This window comes from Homo sapiens, chromosome 12, assembly GCF_000001405.40.
Source record: "Homo sapiens chromosome 12, GRCh38.p14 Primary Assembly".
NCBI classification, from domain to species: domain Eukaryota; kingdom Metazoa; phylum Chordata; class Mammalia; order Primates; family Hominidae; genus Homo; species Homo sapiens.
The window spans coordinates 89,760,452-89,786,376 of record NC_000012.12 but is presented as its reverse complement, the minus strand read 5'-3'; the positions used below and the strand labels follow the sequence as shown (position 1 = coordinate 89,786,376).

General features: G+C 38.4%; 1 long non-coding RNA gene across 1 annotated transcript in view, besides 1 other annotated feature; it reads right to left on the bottom strand.

Moving 5' to 3' along the window:
* LOC107984543 (uncharacterized) overlaps positions 1-25,925 on the bottom strand; it is a 104,864-nt gene that overhangs the window by 30,724 nt on the left and 48,215 nt on the right. The window lies entirely within an intron of this gene.
* Positions 20,222-20,281: a silencer, noted in NCBI's record as "silent region_4699". NCBI's record gives its function as "represses an Ori minimal core promoter by ATAC-STARR-seq in GM12878 lymphoblastoid cells {active_cell/tissue: GM12878}" and the evidence as "EXISTENCE:reporter gene assay evidence [ECO:0000049][PMID:35858748]".

Sequence of the window (25,925 nt, the reverse complement as noted above, 5' to 3'; positions counted from 1 at the left end):
CTGGCCCACAAAACCATTTTTTCCTCCTAAGCCTCTGGGCCTGTGATGGGAGGATCTGCTACCAAGATCTCTTACATGCCCTGGAGACATTTTCCCCATTGTCTTGGCAATTAACATTTGGCTCCTCTTTGCTTATGAAAATTTCTGCACCCAGCTTAAATTTCTTCCCAGAAAAATGGATTTTCCTTTTCTATCACATAGTCAGGCTGCAAATTTTTCAAACTTTTATGCTCTGTTTCCCTTTTAAACATAAGTTCCAATTTCAGATCATCTCTCTCAAGTTCAAAATTCCACAGATCCCTAGGGCAGGGGCAAAATGTCTCCAGTACCTTTGCTAAAGCATAGTAAAAATGACTTTTGCTCCAGTTCCCATGAAGTTCCTCATGTCCATCTGAGACCACCTCAGCCTGGATTTCATCATCCACCTCATTATCAGCATTTTGGTTAAAACCATTCAACAAGTTTCTCAGAAGTTCCAAACTTTCCCACATCTTCCTGTCTTTGGAACAGCCCTCCAAACTGTTCCAATCTCTGCCTGTTACCCAGTTCCAAAGTCACTTTCACATTTTCAGGTGACTTTATAGCAGTATCCCACTCTCTGCAGTACCAATTTACTGTACTAGTCCATTTTCACACTACTATAAATACACGAGACTAGGTAATTTATATTATAAAGGAAAGAGGTTTAATTGACTCATAGTTCCACATGGCTGGGGAGGCCTCAGGAAACTTACAATCACAGCAGAAGGAGAAGCAGGCACATTCTTCACAAGGCAACCAGAAAGAGAGAGAGAAGTGAAGGGGAAGAGACCCTTATAAAACCATCAGGTCTCATGAGAACTCACTCGCCATCATGAGAACAGCATAGGGGAAACTGCCCTCATGATTCAATCACCTCCCACCAGGTCTCTCCCTCAACACCTGGGGATTACAATTAAAGATGAGATTTGGGTGGGGACACAAAACCTAACCATATCAACTCCCAACAGCTGAGAGACTGAGGGCCTTGCTCCTGAAGGAGGGCTCAGGATAGGGTGCCATAGCATTAATTCTACTGTTTGGATCTACTTACTTTGTATAGTGAGTTCATCCTTCAGAGAATGGCCACTCCAGATTCTGGTTGGTCATTTACCCATTTTAGATTTTCCTCATCAACAGCTAACACTTCTGTTGGTCTACATGACTTACCTTTTGGGTTAACCTACACCCCAGTCTCTGAGAGGCCTAAGCCTCTGTGACCAAGGCCTTTGTAGGTCTTTACTGTACATATCAGTTTGCCATTAGGCAGAGCAGGATTCTTTAGTGTGAAATGTGCTGCATTTAAAACTCAAAGAGATCTACAAAGCATTGCATTCTTCTTTGTGGTGGGAAATGCAAGATACAATAATTTTCCTTTTACTTTGGAGAAAATGTCCCTGCATTCCCCAGGTTACTGAACCCCTAAAAAATTCACCAATATAGAAATACTCTAAATCTTCTTGGGGTCTTCCCATACTCCAGAGCAGTACTGTTCAGAAACTTTCTCTGATGATAGAAATGTTATACTTCAGCTGTATCCAATATGGTAGCTACTGGCCATAATGCAATCCTGAGTAATTGGAGTATGGCTACATATACTCATCATGATATCGTAGATTTCTTCCTCATGGGGACCCAGACACTCCTTTAGTCAGTAGATTCCAACTCTGACATAGATCCAGAAACAAGACATGATTTGTTATTGGGGTGTCTTCCTTCAGTTTCTTGATCATCTGTCTTTGCAAGCAAGCTGGCAGTAGACTCTGATGTAAAAGCTTTATAAGAAAAAACCTTCTGTATTATCTTCAAGCAAAGGGTGGGGGAAAGTGGTCTTCTAGCCTTTAATAAGGAGGAGTGGCCCACTTTGGCAGGCCCTTGCGGATTCAGGGCAATCTGGATCTTAAGAGGTTTCCATCCAGGTGTCCATCTCAAGCCTCAGCATTTTGCTCCTTCTCACTCAGGGCCCTGATCTTGGTAGAATAGACATGCCAGAGTTTGGAATTCCACTTTTTCTGAAATTTCACTAGCCTTATAATTAAATTTTGTATGTGATCCTCAACAATGCCTCTCCTATAGCCATAAAAAAGGAGAGAGTCCTTATATCCTGCCTAAGAAACACTCTAACTTCCACAGTGACCTTAAGTTGGTAATTTAACGACCCTCAGTCTTTGTCTTTTTCCAATGCACTGATAACACTCACGAAGAATCATCTGATTTCATTGACTTACGATAATTACTACTCCAAAACCCTCTGTGCATTATCTTTCAGTAGTATCCCTTCCCAGTCACCAACAGTGAGTATATTAACTGGACCAATAAAGCATCCTTGAGGCATTCAGTCCTCCACTTACTACAGTGTTGACATCCTCTTTACCAGCTGGCCAATGAATAATCTAGCTCCAAAACCTCAGAGCGTTCCTGGCACTGACTAACTGAGGTCCAGCTCCCTAGAAAACAGACTCAGATGTAGATTGCATGCAGGAAGTTTTTTGGGAAGTACCAACAGGACAAACCTGTGACAGAGTAATGAAACCAGAAGTGAGTGAACAGGAGAAATTGAACGGTGATGTAATTGAAATGAAGACCTCAGCTGCTATCTGAGGGAGCTCTGGAGCTGAAATGACCCTTCAGGGTTGTCCTGAATTGAGGTAAAGAGGCTGATTTTTCTAATTTCCCCTTCCACAGAGGCTGCCCCTAGCCTAGGGAGGAGGTATAAACTTAGGCAAGGCAACTCCCTTTGGCAGAGGACAGTGCCCAGAGAAAGAAGATAATTCCTGGAGAGGAAATTGGCTGTTTGTCTCAGCAACTAACACTCCCAGCTGTCGACAGATGGAATGAGTGTCTCAGACATAAAACTGTGGTGGGGAGGAGGGCTGTGGAGGAGGCATCTGAGCAGTGCACCACAGCAGCCACTACAGGTTTTATCCTTGGTTTTGCCACTAGGAAGTTACAGGAACCTGAACAATCCACTCAGCCTTTTAATGTTTTTGTTTCCTTATTTGGATGCAAGGACAATGAGAGAGCTAAGTTCTTACCGATACACTTTGGATTCTGTTTGTTTTAAGAAGTATTCTAATTTCCTATTTTACTTATAAATTTAGTTTTTGAAAGGATATTTTCTACGGCAAAGGGGATTTTTTCTGATTTTCATAAAAACAGGTGGTTCTACCAATGTACTGCTTCACTTAAACTAACCTCAAAGTCAGGACTTAGTTTCCATGAACTAAGGATTTCTGACAGTCTCTCATCACTCTGCATCTTCACAAGGTATCTGAGTTTTACCATGCCACCTAGCTTCATTACTGTGCTGTAGAATCAATTGCTTTATTTTGTAATCATGAGTCACATCTATTCACTTTAAACACACAGACACACACACACACCAACTTTCAGTGATGAACATAAAAAAGATTTCAGAACACGATCTTAATAATGTCACTGTGATTGGGTACAACTGCTTTTAAATCAGCCTTGGGCTGGCAGGTGTGGTGGTACATGCCTGTAATCCTGGCTACTTGGGAGGCTGATGCAGGAGGATTGCTTGAGCTCAGAAAGGAGTTCAAGACCAGCCTGGGAAACACAGGGAGACCCTGTCTCAAAAACAATGAGAAAAACAAATCCCTGGAGAAAAGGTTTGTATCCCATTCTTAAATGTCTCTAAGGAGCTCTTTAAAAAATGATCAACCTGACTGTTAGGAAGTTCTTTCTGATATCTAACCTAAATCTCTCCTACTGCAATTTCAAACCACTTCCTTTTCCATCCTTAATGAATTAGGAAAGGAGCTGGTAATCACTGTCACCTGCCTGTTATAATCTTTCATATGTTTAACTTTATTAGAATTTATTTACACCTAAATATTCTCTCCCACATGACAATTTATCTCCCTTAGCCATTGTCTGCTTTTTCACTTTGAGCAGTATTTTTTAGTCTTGTAAATACATTCTCTAGCTTCTGTGTTTATCCCAGAAACTATGGAGACCACATTTAATGAGTTTTTAACATACCATGAATGATTTTGGGGTTTTGGCATGTTACAACCTCACATGGTTTACCTTTCAAACTGCATTAAACTATTCCTACATTAAAAATGTATATTAGATTGTTTAACCTCAAGGAAGAAGCGATTTTCCCACAAGACCTATTTATAAAGTATGATAGTATCTTCCCTTATGCGGGAAGCTAATGTAAACTATTAATGACATGTATCAGTTACAAAATGTTCTTAATGCTAACTCTTTCCAAATAATGTTTAAAATAACAGACTCATTTTGTCCACTGGAGTTTGGTTTTGAAAGATAAACATTTTAAGTATTGCTGGTTCAATATCAATACTTGGAAAGTAGCTATTTTTTCTGAGAGCAGGCTTCATGACATCATTTGGCAGATGTGAATTTCTTGACATTGTTCCTTAAATGCGACAATCTTTTACATATAACATCTTTCCTGATGTTTACAAAATTAGAAAGAAAAATGAATGGAGCTGCTTCACAGATTTATCTTTAAGCAAGTAAAGTTAAAAAGTATTACCCACATAAAGAAAAAATAGATAAAGCTCAAATTTTATATTTGGGGACCACATGGAAGAAGTATACAAAAGTATGTCACTTTTAACCTGATACATCAAACATGAAGACGGTTTTAAACATTTGCAGGGATTTCTATATTCTATGTATGAGTAAATTTTATCCTTACATAGAAAGTAAGTATATCATATATACTTGTGTTTCAGGCCACAACCTCCTTCATAAACCTCTGCTTAATAACTTCATCATCTCTGCCTAAAAGTTGGCTACCAACAAATGCCTGTCAATATGGGGATCTCATGCACACTATAACCTAGGTATCCTCTAGTCTGTAGGTATGCTGCCTGTCACCTCTGCTTCTTGAGTTCACATTGCTCTTAACATTCTCCCAATTCTGACTGACAACACTGGGCTGACCTATCTGACACTGCTGCTGCAAGTGTTCCACATTGGCCGCTCTATACACAGACTGAGAAGGGCAGCTGAATGGTTGTGCAAAATCCCATTGCACAAAAATATCTTCCTCATTTCCACCCACTCATACACTTAAACATATGAAGCATGCTTTACCCTCATGGTAGATGCTTTATGTGCATTATTTATGTACAATAAGCTTTTGAATGTAAGTACTGCTGTCACTATTCTACATCTTAGAAAATTAATTTCAGAGAAATTAAATATATTGCTGAAGCCACACAACCAGTGTCTGCCCCACAATGGGCAGAGACAGGATTTGAATAGGTGTCTATGACTTCAGTGCATCGGCATTTCTCATTATATCCTGTATATCCCCCACCACCATGTTCAGGCAGGATAGCTTAGTGGTTCAGAGTAGGAACTCTGGAGTGAAACTGTCTGGTTTCCAAACCCTGACTCTGCCACTTCTTACTTTATGACCTGCTTAGCGTCTTTGTGCTTTGGTTCCATGATCTGTAAAATGGATATAATATTAGTATGTAACTTTTTTTTTTTTTTTTTGAGACGGAGTCTTGCTCTGTCGCCCAGGCTGGAGCACAGTGGCGCGATCTCGGCTCACTCCAAGATCCGACTCCCGGGTTCACGCCATTCTCCTGCCTCAGCCTCCCGAGTAGCCGGGTAAAGTTGGTATAAGGATTAAATGTGTTAACATAGGCCAGGCGTGGTGGCTCACACCTGTAATCACAGCACTTTCGGAGGCTGTCAAAGAATTGCTTAAGGCCAGGAGTTTGAGACCAGCCTGGAAAACATAGCAAGATTCCATCGCTATAAAAATAAATAAAAATAAAAAAATAGCCAGGTGTGGTGGCACAAGCCCGTAGTCCTAACTTCTTGGGAGAATGAAGCAGTAGAATTGCTTGAGCCCAGGAGTTCAAGGTTGCAGTGAGCCATGATTGTACCACTGCACTCCAGCCTGGGCAAGAGAGTGAGACCTTGTATAAAAAACAAACAAAAAAATGTGTTTATATATAAAGCACTTAGAATAAAGCCTACCACATAGTAACTGCTATTAAATTGGCTACTGTTATTATATTCTTATTATGCAATAAAAAGATCCTACTGAAAAGCAAATGATATAAAGGAAGGAAGAGGGATGGTAACATAACATACATCAATAACCCACTCTAGAGTCTGAAAACTGATAACTAGTTCTCAGGGAAATGGAGACACTGAGCAAGTCTAACTGTTGGATAAAGATGGAGAGGGGCTGCAGTGACAAATACTGAATAGCAAGGGACACCAAAGCCTAGAAAAGGTTGGAATCAACAAGAAGGAAGCACACAGCTTCCTTCCTTCCACTTTAAAATTTTTCCTTCCACTTTAAAATTTTGTTGAATGTCATCCTTAATGGTATTTTATTCCTTAATGGTATTTTATGCCATATTGGTGATGATGGTGGTGGTGGCTTTATGACATCATTTTGGTCCATCCTATTTTAGATATAACAACTATCCTCATGTTGACCCACAATTCTCCCAGGATGTTTATTCAGTAAAATATATATACATCTTTAACTCAAGTATATTAATGAAATTATGAAATATCATTATTCATTTTTAAATTTAACATTAAATATGGCAGATGGGAAAATAATTATAAAACTACTTGCAGTTATATATGAGACCACTATTAAATCTAGGCCTTACATTTTTCACTTTTTCCTAATTTGGGTCAATATCTAATGCCTAATAAAGTTCACAGCATGTTTGACAGCATTCCAAATATGCTGTATTCTTCTTTATTTGAATTTCAACTCCTTTATTTAACATTCTACTTCTTTGTCAATTAGTGCCTCAAAGGATGATAGCCTGCCTAAGCAGCAAAATTCATGGCAGCTTTCAACTTTGTATTGTGCCTAGTACCAAGATTTTTAAATGCTCTAATCATCTTGTCACACTTCTAAAATTATAACATTGGTGGTGTGATCAAAGGCTGAGATTCCATTGAGAACTTCACCTAGGATTTAATCTGACTTCCTGCAGATGCTAGTTGGGAACATATAATAAAGTTTATTAGTGTGTAGTTATTCATTATGTAAAGAATTGCATCATGCAGAGGAAAGAGGTGAGGGTCAGGAAAGTTACTGAATCATCAGAGTAAAGATGAGTCCATTTATACCTTTACTCCTGCCATTGTTGCTAAGGTAGTCAGACAAATTCAGATTTCCAACTACCAGTTCAAATAAGCGACTACTATATTGGAGTAATAGAAACCTGAATGCCTACACTACAACATAAAACCAGTGGAAGTGTACCATATTATCATGAATGCTTCAGTGAATTTTTAATAATGGCTAATACTCCTTTCATCCTTTTAATAAAATAAACCCTAATGCTAATGAGAGCTATAATTTTATGGGTGTCTGTTAGTATATCAAAGACACCAACTAGAATTACTTTAATTCCGTTATTAAGTAACTTTCAATGGCAAAAACCACGATTACTTTTGCACCAACTTAATATATGACTTTACAGTAATTCCTCTTCAGTTACCATTGTACTAGCATTTTGGCAGACAGAAAACAATAAAAATTAACATACCTTAAATATGTGTATATGATCAATATTTACAAAGTGTTTTCAATGGCAAAGTTTCATGAGTCATATGTAGCAATCCTGTGTCATAGTTTGGATAGATAGTAGTATTATTTAATATTGTCCTCATTTTAGAGATTAAACATCACAACAAAGCAAACAAACAAAAAATTTAAGTACTTGCTTTAGGGTCCTAGGTAGCAAATTGCAGATCTGAGACTCAAACAATTTCCGCTCTAAGGTAGCCTACAGATTCATTGATGTAGCAAGAGGTTTACAAAAATGTTACCTTAAAACCTCTTGATATGAGACAGATAATAAATAAGAGGTAGTTGCCTAAATGAAGAGAAAAGATAACAGACACTTATCAAGTTAGAAAGCAAGAAAGTTCCTTTGTGCCTTTTTTTGGTGGGAAAGGAAAACCTTCCTATGAGAATTATAACTTAACCTGAACCTTCATGTGTTTCTAAAATGTGCAGAGGCAGATGAGAAAAAGCCTGGACTCCACATGTGACCATAGTAAATATTTCCACATGTAAAATAGTAGTGTCAGACATCTGTCTGGGTGTAGTGAGATAGTAATCAGCCTGGCGTGTGGTGGGGGTGGGAATTTCTCTCTCATTGGAAAGTAGTAGGTGATAGTGGTTGTCTTAGTCCACTCTCACACTGCTATAAAGAACTGCTTGAGACTGGGTAATTTATAAAGAAAAGAGGTTTAATTGACTCACAGTTCTGCATGGCTGGGGAGACCTCAGGAAACTTACAATCATGGTGGAAGGGGAAGCAGGCACATCTTACATGATGGCAGGCAAGAGAGAGAAGTGCAAGCAGGGGAAATGCCAGAAGTTTACAAAACTCTCAGGTTTCATGAGCACTCATTCACTATCATGAGAACAGCATGGGGGAACCACCCCCCAGGGTCCAATCACCTCCCTCCCTGGACATGTGGGGATTACAATTCAAGACGAGATATTGGTAGGAACACAGCAACCAACCATATCAGTGGTAGACAAAACAGAAGAGATTAAATAATAGAGAGCTTTATGTCAGGCAAGAAATTTGACCTAGATGCAGCAAGCATTCAGAAACCACCCAGCGTTGGAGTAAAGGAAAAGATAATCCAACCCCATAGAGAGGGACTAGAAGGGTAGAGGCCATGCAAATGAGATAAGCAAGGTGAAGCCCTGTATTAGGGATGGCACTAGGACATTAAGAAAGAAACCAAAGACTGATATGTGTTCAATGCAAAAGACAAAGGTGATCCTGGAGATTAGAGCGACCTGTATGTTGATGGTGTTATTGACTAAGAAAGCTAATCTGTCTGACTGTTGAGCATGTATTTGAGAGTCAACAGGGGTGCAATTAATAATATTTGTAAAATGGCTTTGTAAAATACCTTTGATAAAATATTTGTAAAGTGACTTTGATAATAATTGTAAAATGCTTTACTGAAAGCAGGCTATGTCCTAATTCAGGATAGTTTCTTTCAGTTGGAGACAAAAGAATGATTTATAAATGATTCATTTGAATCCTTCATAAAATGTCTTACTTCCCACTGTATCTTTAAAATACAATCCTAGGGCATATGTCCAGAGTTTTAAAATTTGAAAATTGCAATTGTTTGGACACTGTAGAAACAAGACCAAGGATCCAGGCACCCTGGAAAGAACTGTATTCCCAAGGATTCCTTACAAAGGAAAGATGGGACTCCATCTCCTGCCTTTCTCTTACACTTGTCTTAGAAACCCTCAGTCTAAAACTTCTTTATTCCTGTTGGGATCTCCAAGCAACTGACAGTCGCTATCACTTTCGTATTGTCTCCTTACCTATATCACTACACTTCTCTCCTTACAAAAATTACTTGTTTAAATATACCCTCAACTCCCTTGCCCTACTCCTCCTCATCTGATCATTGACTTCAAGAATTAATATGCTCAGGCCTTATGGATATGGGGCCTCTGCACTTATCATCCTACATTTCTGGGGAGCCCTTATTATAATCACCATCGAAAGGAGTTTTAACATTGTGAAAATTGAGCCTCAAAGAAACTGAGTAAGGTCACACGTGGATGGCAGCATATGGATTCAAATCTAGTTCTTCTGGTACAAATTTAATGTTTGTAAAAGGGCCTGATTCTTCTCAAAATATGCAGGTAGAAAAAGAAAAGGACCTACTATAGAATGTCCTTACAAGAAATAAAAGAAGGAAAAGGAACAAGATAGGAAAGGATACCACTATCTTTAAAGAGTAAATATACAGAGAAAATAAAAATAATTTTAAGGTAAAATAATAAAGTATAAGCTAGATAAATAAATGCTAAAAAGATATAAAGGCAAGAGGTACTCAGAGTGACATAAGATTGTTTTTAATCTATTATGTGTTAACACAGAATCCAAAAATTATATCGTATTCTGCTATACCATTAGGAGTATTTCCTGAGGTTCAAAAATTAAAATAAATGATAAAATGTTTTAAATCTGGAAATTTAATAGTTTCCATATATTTAGAAATTGGGTTTGATCATGTTTTCTTCTAGGAGTGCCAAATGCTGTGTTTTCCCTCTCTACTTCAGTAAACAGGTCGTTTCTTAGTGCTTACCTCAGGGTACAACCATCATTATCTCACAGCTTAGTCTGAAGTTCAACAACTGAAACTCAGGGAATCGTCCACATAAATGAATGTTTAGCTCGTACAGCACTACAGAAAACAAAGTGCTTCTTTCTAATGGATGAATCATAACATAATGTGGACCTTCTCAAAAAAGAGCTTGACTCCTTTTTAATGTGCAGTTCTCTAATAATTTCATAAGCACTAAAGATTTCAGTCAATTTGGATTTTGGAGAATAAATAATTCACAATACAGTTCTTCACTGGAATGTGACTCTATTTCAGTGGTCCTCCTTCTTGACCAGGCATCAGAATCACTTGTAACGCTTTACAAAAACACTTGCTGAATCAGAACCTCTGAAGGTGCAGCCTGGGCTTATTTGTCTGAAAAAAGACTGCAAATAATTGTAATGCACAAGCAAGACTGAGAATTCAGATGTAAGGAATCCATAAATAGTTCTTTGATGAGATTTCCCTGAGGAGAGTTAGTTAGAATATTGCCATACAGACTTAAAAAAAAATTCAGCGTTCTTGATAAGGAGAACTTGACACTAAGAAGAGCTACCTCAATTTTATTGCTCCACAAAACAGCTGTCATTCCACAATCTGTACACCTCCAGGCTATCCCACTTTCAGCAGCTGCAATAAATTCCAAGCATATTTCCAATGCAAACTGACCCAGCCTTTGAATCCAAATGTCTTCAACCCTCTCCTAAAGTTTAACCATAAATGTTCACTTCGGTTCAACTTTCCATTTGTCTTATATTAGTCAGCTGGTATGGTTTAAACATTTATAGATAGAAAAGCTCAGATATGGTCCAAGTTTTATCGTAATCAAATGTTAACTGGGTTGTGCATGCTACCTAGTATTTGACTACTGTGGACATTTAAGAGTAATTACTGTCAATGAATCTTGGCTTTTTTTTTTCCTTTAGAAAACGATTACTAGACACTGTGCTATGTTCTGGGACACAACCACACCCTTAATTTGCTAATATTCTAATAGAAAAGCATTTGCTTGACAACTGTTTATTGAATGGATGCAAAGATGCATAAGATATAATCTCTGCATTCTGAGACATTACCGTCTATGTGAAGAGGCAGATTTTTGAACAAAAATTTCCTCTACAATTTGGTGTCATGAAAAACTAGAGTCATTAAAAAATAATTACAAAGGAAAATAAATATATATGAGGAAAGTCAGTGTAGGCCTTACAGAGAAAGTGGCATCTAAACTGGAAGAATGAATGGAAAGAATATTACAAACAGAAATATGCAAATCTCATAAACAAGCAAACCATAACACATTCAGGGAAAAGTGAGAACTATGTGGAATATTTAGCACAAGGCTCACTGACTCTCTCTGTTACCACCCTTGTCATCATTCTTAATAATTTCAACAGACCAGTAGATATCTGTCTAATTGCCTGGGCCTCTAGGCTTTCCATTTCCAACAACCATTTCCTTAATTATTCCAAGCTCCCACTCCTACCATTCTATCCTTGTCATTACAATAACTGCGTACACCTCTGAAATCTCAAGTTTAAGTTTTTCAAGCATTGTTTCCTGAAATACCACCTCCTACCATTCCTGTACACTTGCCTTAGGAACCCTCCCTCTAAAACTTCTTCATTCCTGTTGAGATCTCCTAGCAATTAACAATCCCTAGCACTTCTTCATTGTCTCCTTACTTGCATCACCTCACTTCCCTCCTTACACCAATTACCCACTTACAAATACCCTCAACTCCCTCATGCTACTCCTCATTTGATCAAAGCCCTGACTAAACTCAACTCTCTACCTATTCCATGCCCAAACACTGTCAATTGAACATAACTGGAGAAAAACTCCAAAACATGCCAACTAATCCTACTTTACTTTTATGACCACTGATGTCAGAAGAAATCATTCTCTTCCCAGAGCCTTAGCTATTGTTCTTCCTTTTGCTTAGACTGGTTTCCCCTCAGATATTCACATGGCTTGCTACCTTGACTTATTCAAGTCTTTGCTAACGTGTCACCTTTTTTCATTTTTTCATTTTTTTTTTGAGACGGAGTCTTGCTCTGTCGCCCAGGCTGGAGTGCAGTGGCGTGATCTCGGCTCACTGCAGGCTACACCTCCCAGGTTCACGCCATTCTCCTGCCTCAGCCTCCGGAGTAGCTGGGACTAGAGGTGCCCGCCACCACGCCTGGCTAATTTTTTGTATTTTTAGTAGAGATGGGGTTTCACCATGTTAGTCAGCATGGTCTCAATCTCCTGACCTCGTGATCAGCCGGCCTCGGCCTCCCAAAGTGCTGGGATTACAGGCGTGAGCCACTGTGCCTGGCCAATGTGTCACCTTTTTAAAGAGGACTTCCCAGGACTATCTTGTCTAATGGAGCCCCATCTACCCTAGCCTGTCTCTCTCTACCCATTAACTCTGCTTTATTTTTCTTTATACAACTTATCATGAAACTTTGTTTATCTTTGTCACCTCCACTAGACTGTAAGCACCCTGAGGGCAACAATGGTGTTTGTCATGTTTACTACTATATGTCCATGTGGCTGGCACATAGTAAGGGTGATGGTTAATTTTATATGTCAACTTGATTGGATCACGTGTTGCCCAGATATTTCATTAAACTTTATTCTGGGCATGTCTGTGAAGGCTTTCTGGATGGGATTAGCATTTTAATCAGATTGAGTAAAGCAGATTGCTATCCCATATGTAGATGGGGCTCATCCAGTCTGCTAAAGTCCTAAGTAGAACAAACAGGCAAAGCGAGGGAGAATTGCTCTCTCCGTCCTACCGTCTTCAAGCTAAGACATCATATTCTCCTGCCCCTGGGCTTAGGCACAGACTAAAACTTACATCACCAGCTCTCCCGAGTCTCCAGCTTGCTCACTATAGATCCTAGGACTTGTTAGCCACTATAACTATACGAGCAAATTACTTATAATAAATCTAGATAAATAGATAGAGAGTGACAGAGATAGAATAGATTTAAGTATATATGTAAATCTGTATCTACTGTACTGGAGATAAGAGTCTCCTTCAGGGTGCACATAAGTTTTCAGATTATTTATGCAGTGCTTGATCTGGGAGTCCAAATCCTTGAGCTCATCCTTTTCTTTCACCACTTTGTCCAGTGACATCAGTAGCAAACAGCCAATCTCATTATCTTTGTTAGTTTTCGAAAATATTTGAAAGTATCATACATACAGTTACCTATTCTTTGCTCTATCTATCTATCTATCTATCTATCTACCTATCTATCTTATCTTTCTATATGCCTGAGTTCTCCAGGGTAACAGAACTAATAGAATATATAATATATATAATATTTTGGTAACAAGAGTGTTTCTAAAGGAATAGAATTTTAAGGATGAGTTTTCTGAATTGCTTCTGGGGTTTCTGGAATTGGTTCTCTAATCGGATTAGGTTTGAAAATGCTAAGGACTCTGTTTCTAGCAATAAAATAGAGCACTGATAGCCCATGGTGTGATCTGGCAATGGATATATACAAGATATCTCCAATGGATCCTCCTAATCAACCACTTATAAGAAGCAAAGAATAGGGAACTGTACTTATGATACTTTCAAATATTTTTGGAAAACTAACAAATATGAGGTTGGCTGATTGCTCCTAACATCACTAGACAAAGTGGTGAAAGAAAAGGATGAACCCAAGGATTTGGATTGCCAGCTCAAGTACTGCATAAATACTCTGAAAACTTCTGTGAACCCTGAAGGAGTCTCCTATTTCAGTAATTGTAGGGTTGAGACTTTTGAAAATCCAACACAGAATCTCAACTTGAAACTAGCTGAATTACAACACAAGTTAAACTTCCAGCCTTGCAGGGTGTCTACTGTTAAAATGAGGGCATTGACTGGGAAAAAAACATGGTACCCTGTATGTTGGAATGGGTACATGTGGGAAGACCCTGATGAAGCTGGGGACATTGAGCCTCTAAATTCTGAAGAGTCTTCTTTGTCAGTAGAAGAGGCCTCTCCACCCCAATCTGAAGTGGGGTAAAGAGGTCTATATTGCCTAGGGAAATTATAATTGCCTCCCCTGAGGCAATAGTCATACAAGACAACTGCTGGTTCTCCTTAGGACCCACCCTACAACTCCCTTTGCTTTTAGACCTATAACTAGACTCAAGGCCCAGCAGGACCCTAAAGGTGAGGCTGAAAGTGTTACCCATAATGAGGTATACTACACTCTAAAAGAATGACTTGAGTTTTGTTAATTTATACAGACAGAAATCTGGGAACTTGTGTGAGAATGGATATTGAGAGTGTAGGATAACGGTGGAAAAAGCATAAAGCTGAATCAGGCTGAATTTATTAATATGGTCGCACTAAAAGAAATTCTGTATTTAACATTGTAGCTTAGGGAGTTAGGGATGGCTCTAAAGGTTTGGTTAGTAGGTTGGCTGAAACACAGACCAAAAGGCAGCCCACAGAGAGTGAACTGGAAAGCCAAATCTGCCTTGGTTTAATGCAGCGGAGGAGATTCAAAGGCTTAGGGAAGGCTGGGTGTGGTGGCTCATGCCTGTAATCCCAGCACTTTGGGAGAAGACCAACCTGGTCGACACAGCAAGACCCTATCTCAAAAAAAAAAAAAAGCTTAGGGAGACTGGAATGTGAGAGATGTGAGAGTAGGTGTTTCATATAACAGCTACTTTTCCACACTGAATGGATCCAGAAGACATACCTTTCACCACAACTATGAAAAGTAAATCCATGAGGGGAGCCCTGGCATCCTTGAAGAGCTCTGTGATTATTCTTTTCCATAGGCCAGACCTTACAGTGGGAACTACAGTCACTGAACTGGAAAATGTAAGTGTAATGGGAGAAAGTGAATCCCAAGGATGGCAGGAGTCAAGTGGCAGCACTCAACTACCAAAGGCAAAGTGGGTGTGGTTATCATAATGGAGATCAGAGTCAAAGCAGCAATCAGAGTAGTTTGACTCATGCAGACCTATGCAATTGATGGGTTTATCATGCTGTACCTACAAGTGAAATAGATAGGAAGCCTACTAAATTCTTACTTGATGTGTATAAAGAGAAAAGTTCGAGGTCAAGTGAACAAAACTTTGAATCATAAATCAGAGAGTCACAACCCTTCAATCAATTCCAATAATTGAGCCAATTTATAGGCCCAGAACCACTTAAATGAAGAAGCCAGGTCTCCTTGAAGAAAGACTGCCAAAAGTTTGTGCTGCAATCTTTCTCCCAACCATCCATAAAGAGACATACAGCCTTTTATCAGGGTAACTGTGTACTAAGGAAAAGGAACTAATATAACTTTTCAAGGATTACTGGATATTAACTCCAAATTGACACTAGTACTAATTCCAGGAGATCCAAAACATCACTGTGGCCCAACAACAGTCAGAGTAGGGGCTTAGGGAAGTCCGGTGATCAATAGAGTTTTAATCAAGCTCCATGTTACAGTGAGTCCAATAGGTCCCTGAAACAATCCTGTGGTTATTTTCCCAGTTCTAGAATGCATAATTGAAATAGATATATTTAGCAGCTGGCAGAATCCCCACATTGGTTCACTGAGCTGTGGAGTGAGGGCTATTATGCTATGAAAGACCAAGTGGAAGCCACTATAACTGCCTCTGCCTAGGAAGATAGTAAGCCCAAAGCCATACCACATTCCTGGAGAGATTGCAAAGATTAGGGCCACTATCAAGGTTGCACCATCATTGAAAGATGCAGGTGTGCTGATTCCCACCACATCCCCATTCAACCCTCCTTTCTGGCCTGTGCAGAAGACATATGGGTCTTGGAGAATGACAGTGTAGTATTATAAACTTAGCCAGATGGTGACTTCAATTGCAGCTGCTGTCTCAGATGTGGTTCCATTGCTTGAGCAAATTAACACATTTCCTGATGACTGCTGTGCAACTATTGATCTGGCAAATGTTTTCTTCTTGATACCTGTTAGTAAAAACCACCAGAGGCCATTTACTTTCAGCTAGCAAGTCCGGCAGTCCACCTTCACTGTCCTACCTCAGGGGTATAACAACTCTCCAGCACCATGCCATAGTTTAGTCCACAGGGACCTGGATTGCCTTTCCCTTCCACAAGATATCACATTGGTCCATTACATTGATGACATTATTCCACTTGGACTTAGTGAATAAGAAGTCGCAACTACTTTAGACATATTGGTAAAAAAAAAATTGTAGATCAGAGACTGGGACATAAATAAAAAAAAAATTAGAGGTCTTCTACCTCAGTGAAATTTGTAGGACTCCAGTGGCATGGCTCATGTCAAGATACTTCTTTTAAGGTAAAGGATAAGTTGTTCCATCTGGCCCCTCTTACAACCAAGAAAGAGACAATGCCTAGTGGGGCTGTTCGGATTTTGGAAGAAACATATTCCTCATTTGTATGTATTCTCCAGCCCATTGACCAAGTGATCCAAAAAGCTGCTTGTTTTAAGTGGGGCCCAGAGCAAAAGAAGGCTTTGCAATAAGTCCACACTGCTGTGTAAGCTGCTTTGCCACCTGGACCATATGATTCAGCAGATCCAATGGTACCTGAAGTGTCAGTGGCAGATAGGGATGCTGTTTGGAGCCATTAATAGCCCCCTATAGGTGAATCGCAGCACAGGACATTAAGATTTTGGAGTAAGCCCTGCCATCCTCTTCAGATAACTACTCTCCTTTTGAGAAATACCTCTTGGCCTACTACTGGGCCTTAATAGAGACTGAACACTTAACCATGAGTCACTAAGTTACCATTTGATCTGAGCTGCTGATCTGAACTTGTTGTTATATGACCCACCAAGCCATAAAGTTAGTTGCGCACAGCAGGATTTCATCATCAAATGTCAATGGTAAATACGTGATTGGGCCAAAGCAGGCCCTGAAGCCACAAGTGAGTCACAAGAAAAAGTGACTCAAATGCCCTCAGTCCCTACTATTGCTACATTGCCTTCTGTCTCCCAGCCTGCACCTATGGCCTCATGAGGAGTTCCCTATAATCAGTTGACCAATTATAATATTACAATCAGATTATAATCAGAGGAAAAGAAGACTCAGGCCTAGTTTACAGATGGTTCTGTACAATATATTCCCCAACGTCCTGAATAAGCTAGGTTAATATAATGACCTTTTGAAGATTCAATTACAGTTCCAGCTAAGTGGCAATACCTTACAGTGCTGGGGCAGTGTTCTCCAGAAGGCTGTATATGCTCTGAATCAGCATCCAATCTATAGTGCTGCTACACCCACAGCTAGAATTCACAGGTCTAGTAATCAAGGGGTGAAAATGAGAGTGGCACCACTCACTATTATCTCTAGTCACCTACTAGCAAAATATTTGCTTCCTATTCCCACAACCTTATGTTCTGCTGGTCTAGAGGTCTTAGCTCCACCAGGAAGAATGTGTCCACCAGGAGACATAACAATGATTCCATTGAACTGGAAGTTAAGACAACCCCCTGGCCACTTTGAACTCCCCATGCCTCTGAAAAAACAGGCCAAAGAAGGGAGTTACTGTGCTGGCTGGAGTGATTGATCCTGACTACCAAGAAGAAATTAAGTTGCTATTCTACAATGGAGATAAGAAAGAGTACATCTGAAATATAGGAGATCCCTTAGGACTTTTCTTAGTATTACCATACCCTGTAATTAAAGTCAGTGAAAAACCCAATCCAGGCAGGACCACCAAGGCCCAGACCCTTCAGGAATGCAGGTTTGGGTCATTTGAAAGAACCACAGTCAGCTGAGTGCTTGCTGAAGGCAAAGGGAATACAGAATGGGTAGTGGATGGAGGTCTAAGTACCAGCTAGAACCATGTGACCAGTAACAGAAATGAGGACTGTAATTGTCATAAATATTTCACCCTCATTTTGTTATTAGTGTGTTTGTGTGTACAACTATACATATTTATATAAGCATATTTATTTATTAATATATATTAAGCAAATATCTTTTGTTTTCTTCCCTCTCTTATTCATTTATCATGTAACATAAAATATATTGACTTTATATCACAGTATTTAAGTATTGTTAATTTTACATCATAGTATTTAGGCTATGGGATATCAAGAAGAAAAGTAAACATCACCCAAGGACTTTACCTCCTCTTCTGGGGAAGGGGTTACTGCATTGCCAATTGTATGCAAGATAGTTTTATCATGGTAGATGGAATTATTACCTTGTTATTTTCTTTATTTGGATATGAAGTATGCTTTAAGGAGGTGCATATGGGTGCCAAATTGACAAGGGGTGAACTTGGGATGTTAATTTTATGTGTTACCTTGACTGGGTCACAGGGTGCCCAGATATTTCATTAAACATTATTCTGGGTGTGTTCATGAGCAATTTTCTGGGTGAGATTAGCATTTGAATCAGTAGACTGAGTAAAACAGATTGACCTTCCCAATGTGGGTGGGTCTTATGGAAACTTTGAATGGTTTGAATAGAATAATAAGGTAGTGTGAGGGAGACTTCACTCTCTCTTCCTGACTATCATTGAGCTGGGATATCAGACTTCTCCTGCCTTAGAACTTGGACTCAGACTGGAACTTAGGCCATCAGCTCTTCTGATTCTCAGACCTTCCAACCTGGACTGGAACTATGCCATCTGTTCTCCTGGGTGTCCAGCTTGCTGACTATAGATCTTGAGACTTCTGAGCCTCCACAGAATTTCTTATAATCAATATATAAGAACCTGAGAGGTTCTGTTTCTCTGGAGAATCCAAAAGAATACAGTAAGAAATACAATAAATAAATGAATTATTAACATTCCCTGTAGCTAAAATATAACACAGGAATTAGGATATGGTAAGTGTCTGAGTCCATTTTCTGTTGCTTATAACAGAATATCTGAAACTGGGTAATTTTTAAAGAAAAGGAATTTGTTTCTTACAGTTATGGAAGCTGGGAAACCCAATGTCAAGATGCTACATCTAGTGAGAACCTTCCTGCTGGTAGGGACTCTCTGAAGAGTCCCAAGGCTGTGCAGGGAATCAAATGGGTAGGGAACTGAGCATGCTAGCTCATATCGCTCTGCCTTTTTTTTTTTTTTTATAAAGCCACCAGTCTCATTCCTGTGAGAGCTCATTAATCTATTAACCTATTAATTCATTAATCCATTAATGGACTAATGCACTCATGAGGGCAAAGCCCTCGTGACCCAATTCCCTCTTAAAAGCCCCCTGTCAGCACTGCCACATTGGGGATTAAATTTCCACATGAATTTTGGAAAGGACAAATATTCAGCCTAAAACAGTAGCTAAAAATATAGCAATAATAATAATAATAACAAGAATTAAATGTATTATTCTCTAATTATACACAAGATACTCTATCAAACTCTTTAAATGGACCATTTCATTTAATCCTCATAACACTATGTAATAGGTAGTACCTTTACAGAGAAGGTCACTGAAGTTCAGAGAGATTAACTAACTTATTAGGGTGACATTATTATAAACTTTAAAAAAAAATTTTCCCAAATAGAAATATCTTTCTTTATTATTTCTGTTATTTCAAATCAATCAACTAATCAACTGAGCAACAAGAATACACTGAGCTTGGTGTTATCTGCCCCAGGTGATTTCCTGTAAGGAAATGAAGCCACAGACAAAGTGCACAAATATCTTCCTGGCTTCAAGAAACATTAGATCAACTACTCTCAAAAACACATGATGCCTTCGGACAACCCTTCTATTTTTTACTTCTGTAACCAGTTATTTGCAAAAGAAAAAGTAAACTAGAAGAGCTGAATAATTACTAATTACAAACAACTATACATAAGGAAAAAATGAGTTTAAACAAAGCATTTTAAACCATGTAGTCCATTTTTTAAATGTGGAGTTCATGTTATTAGTAACGTGGGGATTACGTTTTACTCTAAAGGCTAATAAGTCTGTCCCTGGTAGACTTAATTAAAAGCACAAAAACAAAAACAGAACCTCTTTTTCTCCCTTTACATAGCTACCTAGGTCAGAGGTTGGAAAATTGTTTTTGTAAAAGTCCAGATAGTTAATATTTTAGGCTTTTGGGCCATGGAGTCTCTGTTGCAACTGCTCACCTCTGCCATTGTAGCATGAAGTCTACCACAGAAAGTAAGTAAATGAGTGAGTGTGGCTGTGCTATAATAAAACTGCCTTTGTAAAACCAGGTGGTAGATTAAATTTGGCCTGAGGGTTATAATTTACCCAATCCCTGATTTAGTCTAAGGTACCTCATTCCAAGATTAGAAAACATAAACAGAGAAGGACCAGTCTTTCCTCATTCTGATGGAAATTACTTATTGATGAAGTCTAAACTGTTGAATACTAACACTCATAGTGAAGAGTAAGTTGAGAAAGAGTAGAGGGAGCAATAATTACAAGATGATGCCTCAACTGGAGCGTATTATAAATAACAACTACAATACAGCCTAAGAAAATAATAAGAAAAGTTACCCTTTAAGACAGGAATCCATCATTTTACTCAATGTCATCTTTTATCAGCAGACTCTCAAACATTATTGGTTCTTTCACATAAATTCCACTTATCTACATATATCAATCTGCTCTAGAGCAAAGCAGGCTTGTTACTTGTTGCTTTCCCCACCATTATGGCAACTTGTGTGCTGAGACAGATAATGCCAATCAGAAAATATCCACAAATTAATTTTTAGATTATTTTTAATTATTCACCCAATTCCTAAGCAAGCTAATTTATTCAAAAGAAAATGTCCATAGTTGAGTTTCAAGTCAAAACAAATTGTCTTGGGGGATCTGTAGTGAAAATCTATGAGATTGTCTTCCCAGAACCAATTTCTGAGAATCAACTTTCACCCATCTATGTGGTTCCCGTGGTACTGATAATCCCACCCCTCAAGCCACTATTAAGTGGTTCTGTATTCATTTGCTAGGGTCATTGCAACAAAGTCTCAAAAGCTGAATGGTTTAAATAGAAATTTGGGTCTCACAGTTTCTAGCGGCTAAAGGAAGGTGTCAGCAAGGTTAGTTCCCTCTGAGTGCTTTGAGGGAGAATCTGTTTCATGTCTCTCTCCTAGTTTTTAGTGGTTTGCTGACAACTTCGGCACTCTTTGCCTTGTAGAAGTTTCATCCAATCTCCACCTTCACGTTCACATGGTGCTCTCCCTGTATACCTGTCTATATCTGTATCCAAATTGTCCTTTTTTACAAACTCATAGTTTTATTGGATTAGGAACCACTCTAATGAACCATCTTAACTTGATAATCTACAAAGACCCAATTTCTTTTTTTTGATATTTTATTTTATTATTTTATGTTTCTGGGATACATGTGCAGGATGTACAGGTTTGTTACATAGGTAAACTTGTGCTATGGTGGTTTGCTGCACCTATCAACCCATCACCTAGGTATTAAGCCCCCCATGCATTAGCTATTTATCCTGATGCTCTCCCTCACCACCTGCTCCCCACCACGACAGGCCCCAGTGTGTGTTGTTCCCCTCCCTGTGTGCATGTGTTCTCACTGTTCAGCTCAAAGACCCAAATTCTTTTTTTTCTTTTTAAATTATACTTCAAGTATATGTGCACAACGTGCAGGTTTGTTACATAGGTATACATGTGCCATGTTGGTTTGCTGCACCCATCAACTCGTCATTTACATTAGGAATTTCTCCTAATGCTATCCCTCCCCCAGCCCCCCATCCTCTGAAAGGCCCTGGTGTGTGATGTTCCCTGCCCTGTGTCCGAGTGTTCTCATTGTTCAGTTCCCACCTATGAGTGAGAACATGCGGTGTTTGGTTTTCTGTCCTTGTGATAGTTTGCTGAGAATGATGGTTGCCAGCTTCATCCATGTCCCTGCAAAGGACATGAACTCATCCTTTTTTATGGCTGCATAGTATTCCATGGTGTATATGTGCCACATTTTCTTAATCAAGTCTACCATTGGTGGACTTTTGGGTTGGTTCCAAGTCTTTGCTATTGTGAATAGTGCCGCAATAAACATATGTGTGCGTGTGTCTTTATATTAGCATGATTTATAATCCTTTGGGTATATACTCAGTAATGGGATCACTGGCAAAGACCCAATTTGTAAGAAAGATCACATTCACAGGTGCTTGGGGTTAGAACATTAGCATCTTTTAGGGGGACGTAATTCAACCCGTAACAGATCTAAGGCTTCACAAGCTGGATAATAAGAGTCCTTTCTGGGGATTTTTAGAAATAGAACTGAGAGAGTCCGGATGGCTAAAGTGGTCATACACAAAATTCAAGTGCTGTTGGCAAACACGTTTTCTAACACACAGAGAAATAGCAGCAGCAATGCATTCATGATGGCATAATTTGAGTTCCTGGTTCCAAATAGGTCTGTGGCCCAGCCTCAAACCCACCTGCCCTTTCCAAGGTTTCCTTTCATTTTATAGGGCTCTGTAACTTTGTGTGTGTAGGGTTTTTTGGTTTTTGGTTTTGGGGTTGTTTGTTTGTTTGTTTTGAGACAGGGCCCTACTCTGCCACCCAGGCTGTAACGCAGTGGCACAATCACAGCTCACTACAGCCTCAACCTCCCTGGGCTCAGGTGATCCTCACACCTCAGCCTCCCAAGTAGTTGGGACTACAGGTGCATGTCACCATGCCTGGCTAATTTTTGCATTTTTTTTTTTGGTCAAGATGGGGTTTCACCATGTTGCTTAGGCTGGTAGTGAATGCCTGGGCTCAAGCAATCCACCTGCCTCAGCCTCCCAAAGTGCTGGGAATACATGCATGAGCCACTGCACCCAGCCAGGACTCTGTAACTTCTAAACAAGAGTACTAACAATTGTGACATCTCTTACAATTAATCTTCAAAAATATGTTCCCCACTGTATTCACTTAAGAGGTTCCATAGAAACACTGGATTTCAAGGAATGCTTCATATTGCTAAAAATTATTACAGAAATTTATTCCACCAAATCTAGAGCTATAACACCCAAGATGATTTTGAATAAATAAATATTCGAATCAACAGAAATGAAAAGTGATCCAGAGACATTAGGAATGTTAAGAATAAAGGAAACAATGTCAATAAGAATTTTGGAGATTAGATAAAGACCATTATAATTTTGGAGTCTAATGACACAAACTTACTTTATTGGTATTACAGAGTCAGTTAGTTTCTCCTTTTCAATTGTTCTGTGCTGAATATAAGTAGTCCTCCCAAGTTTGCTAGATATTTCTTAATATATTTGGCAAATATTTATGTCTGGACATACTTGAAGAACTTGTAGGACAGGAATTCTAGGCTATTATTTATTTGAAAGGTGATAAGTCTACAGGAAAAGAATTCATCCTGAGGGCAAAGAAAATCAAAGGCCAATCAGATAATAGCGGTCACTAATAATTTTCCTCCAGCTAAGCCCCATGAGTCCTGTATACTGTGATGGGTCAAATCGAAAAAGAAGAAGCAACTTTATCCACCAAAATCTCAGTGGGTCATTGAGAGTGCTGATCAACTTCATTGTCACTGTAGGTAACTTTAGCAATAGCAGGATGAGGCAGCTGTTACTTATCCACATTGACCAACAGCAACAACATCAAGCAACCTAAAGAGGATGACGTTAGTAGCTTTAACACTGGTGGCTTTGTAATTGCCACTTTTGGTGTCATCACCATAATGACCTGAAAAGGAAGAAAATGAATCAACCCACATAGAAGTGAAAAGGACTAGTTCCTGATCTTTGTGAGACCACGTTCTAGGGATGTCCAGAACTATTTAAGAGGAATATATGAGGACTGTACTGCTTAAGAAGAAGGAATAGGAAAACAGACAATTCCTACTTTCTGTCATTGTAATCTTATTTTTGTCCCTCGGTTGGTTTAGCTCAGGAAACAAGGGTTGATGAAAAAAAATTTCTAAGGAACAATGAAATAAATGTCTTACATATTTTCAACTATTCTGTAACATTTAACTGCTTATACATTTTGACTATACAATAGCACCATGTTAGCATTTTATTATTTTAAAAAATCACAATAATGTTTCTCAAAGTTTCATCTGAAAAGTGCCACTAGGACACCAGAAAATCTTCAATGGCAGGTTTTGACGTTTTCTTGTTTTTTAATTTCAAAGAAACTATAAGAAAATGCTTTTTTAAATTATAATAAAAATATCTGAATCATAAAACCAGTCTTTCCACTTAAAATGAGCTCATTTTTAGTCATCCAATAAAATATCATGTAACGAAAACTCATTTTAATTCCCCTTAAAACTGCATTTACGTTAGTAAACAACATTTTTTTTCTTACAGAGAAATTGTATCTATAGTATATTATAACACAATGTTGAACACAAGATCTTGCTAACATGTTATACTGGAATTTTATTGTTATAGGATTGAAGGTGCTTTCAAAAACTATCTGGTATAGACTTTAACTTCCAAAATAAAGTCACTAAATTTCAATTTCCAAAGTGAATTCTATAGAACACAAGTGCCACTGTTTTGTTTTGTTTTGTTTTAACATGTTTTGTGTTTTGGGGGTTTTTCAGTACAAAGGATAATTTCCAGGGGCAACTAAGTTTAGGAAATTCTTTGTTAATATTAAACAGGCTCAAAACTGATCTTCTTCAAACAACATATTCTTCTAAAATATCATTTATACTATATAATGTGACTGAATTTCTAGCCTCAGAAGGTTTACATAGGGATTAAATTCACATTTTGAGGAAAATAGCCTTCCTTGTCTGGAAAAATCACGTGGCAGGTGCAGTGTCAAGGACATCCCTGAGGCATAGCCAAAGTCTCCTTCCGCAATTTTCTTCCAAAGCACTGAAAGACATTAACAACTGCCACCACAGAAGGCCTTCTCCAATCCTTATGTGTGAGCTTAATTCTTAATTTTCGTTCAGAGAATTGAATTTAAAATCATATCAATCGATTAACTTACATCTTTTAATTTAAAACAATGTCATATACTATAGTATTACTATTATCATTTTGAGTTGTAAATTATTCAGGAGGGAATTGCTAAAGCCTCCTGGGATTTTTTTTAATAAGTAATTAAATTGCACTAAGACAAAAAATATCTAATCTTTATTTTAAACTACAAAGTGAATCATGACAATAATCTTTGAACAACCAAAGTGCTGTTTGTTGGACAGGTGAAAAATTAGAGAAAATCATTTGTCTTCCATACCATAGAAACATGTTATTTGTAGAGTTAAATATACATTGTCTCAAATGTTCTTTCACTCACTTCCATGCCTCAAAAGCATGACTTTTGTACATAACAACACTCATCAGTTGATTATCAACAACCGCTTACATGAAACCACAGTGCAAAAAATGTGGTTACAAACTACCAAGACAAAAAATGAAAAGAAAAAAACGCTTCCTATTTTTCAGCTTTATAAAAGGTGAAAGGGTGTGGTTAACAAAATAATGTACTTTAAAATAGCCAGAGTAGTGCTGAGACAACTAAACTCATCAAAGTTTGTTTGAGAATATGTTGTAATATCTTTTTAAATGAATATTTTCTAAAATAAGGTGTTTTATTACATGAAGAGTTGAGCCTAGGGCATCACATGTGAGAATTAAAAGTTGCCATATAATTTCTGAAGCCCTCATCCTACCTAGAAGAGCGAAAAGCACCAATCAACTAGAAGAAAAATTACAGTCTGATCAATTGGAAGAGGTAAATTGAGAAAACAGAAAATTCATAGTTAAATTTTGAGCAGATATTTTAAAAAGAAGAAAGGGCTCTAAAGAGAGAAAAGAAGAGAAGAGAAAACAAGAGGAAAAATGCAAAGAGAACAGAAAACTATAATAAAGGGATTAAAAATAGATTTATA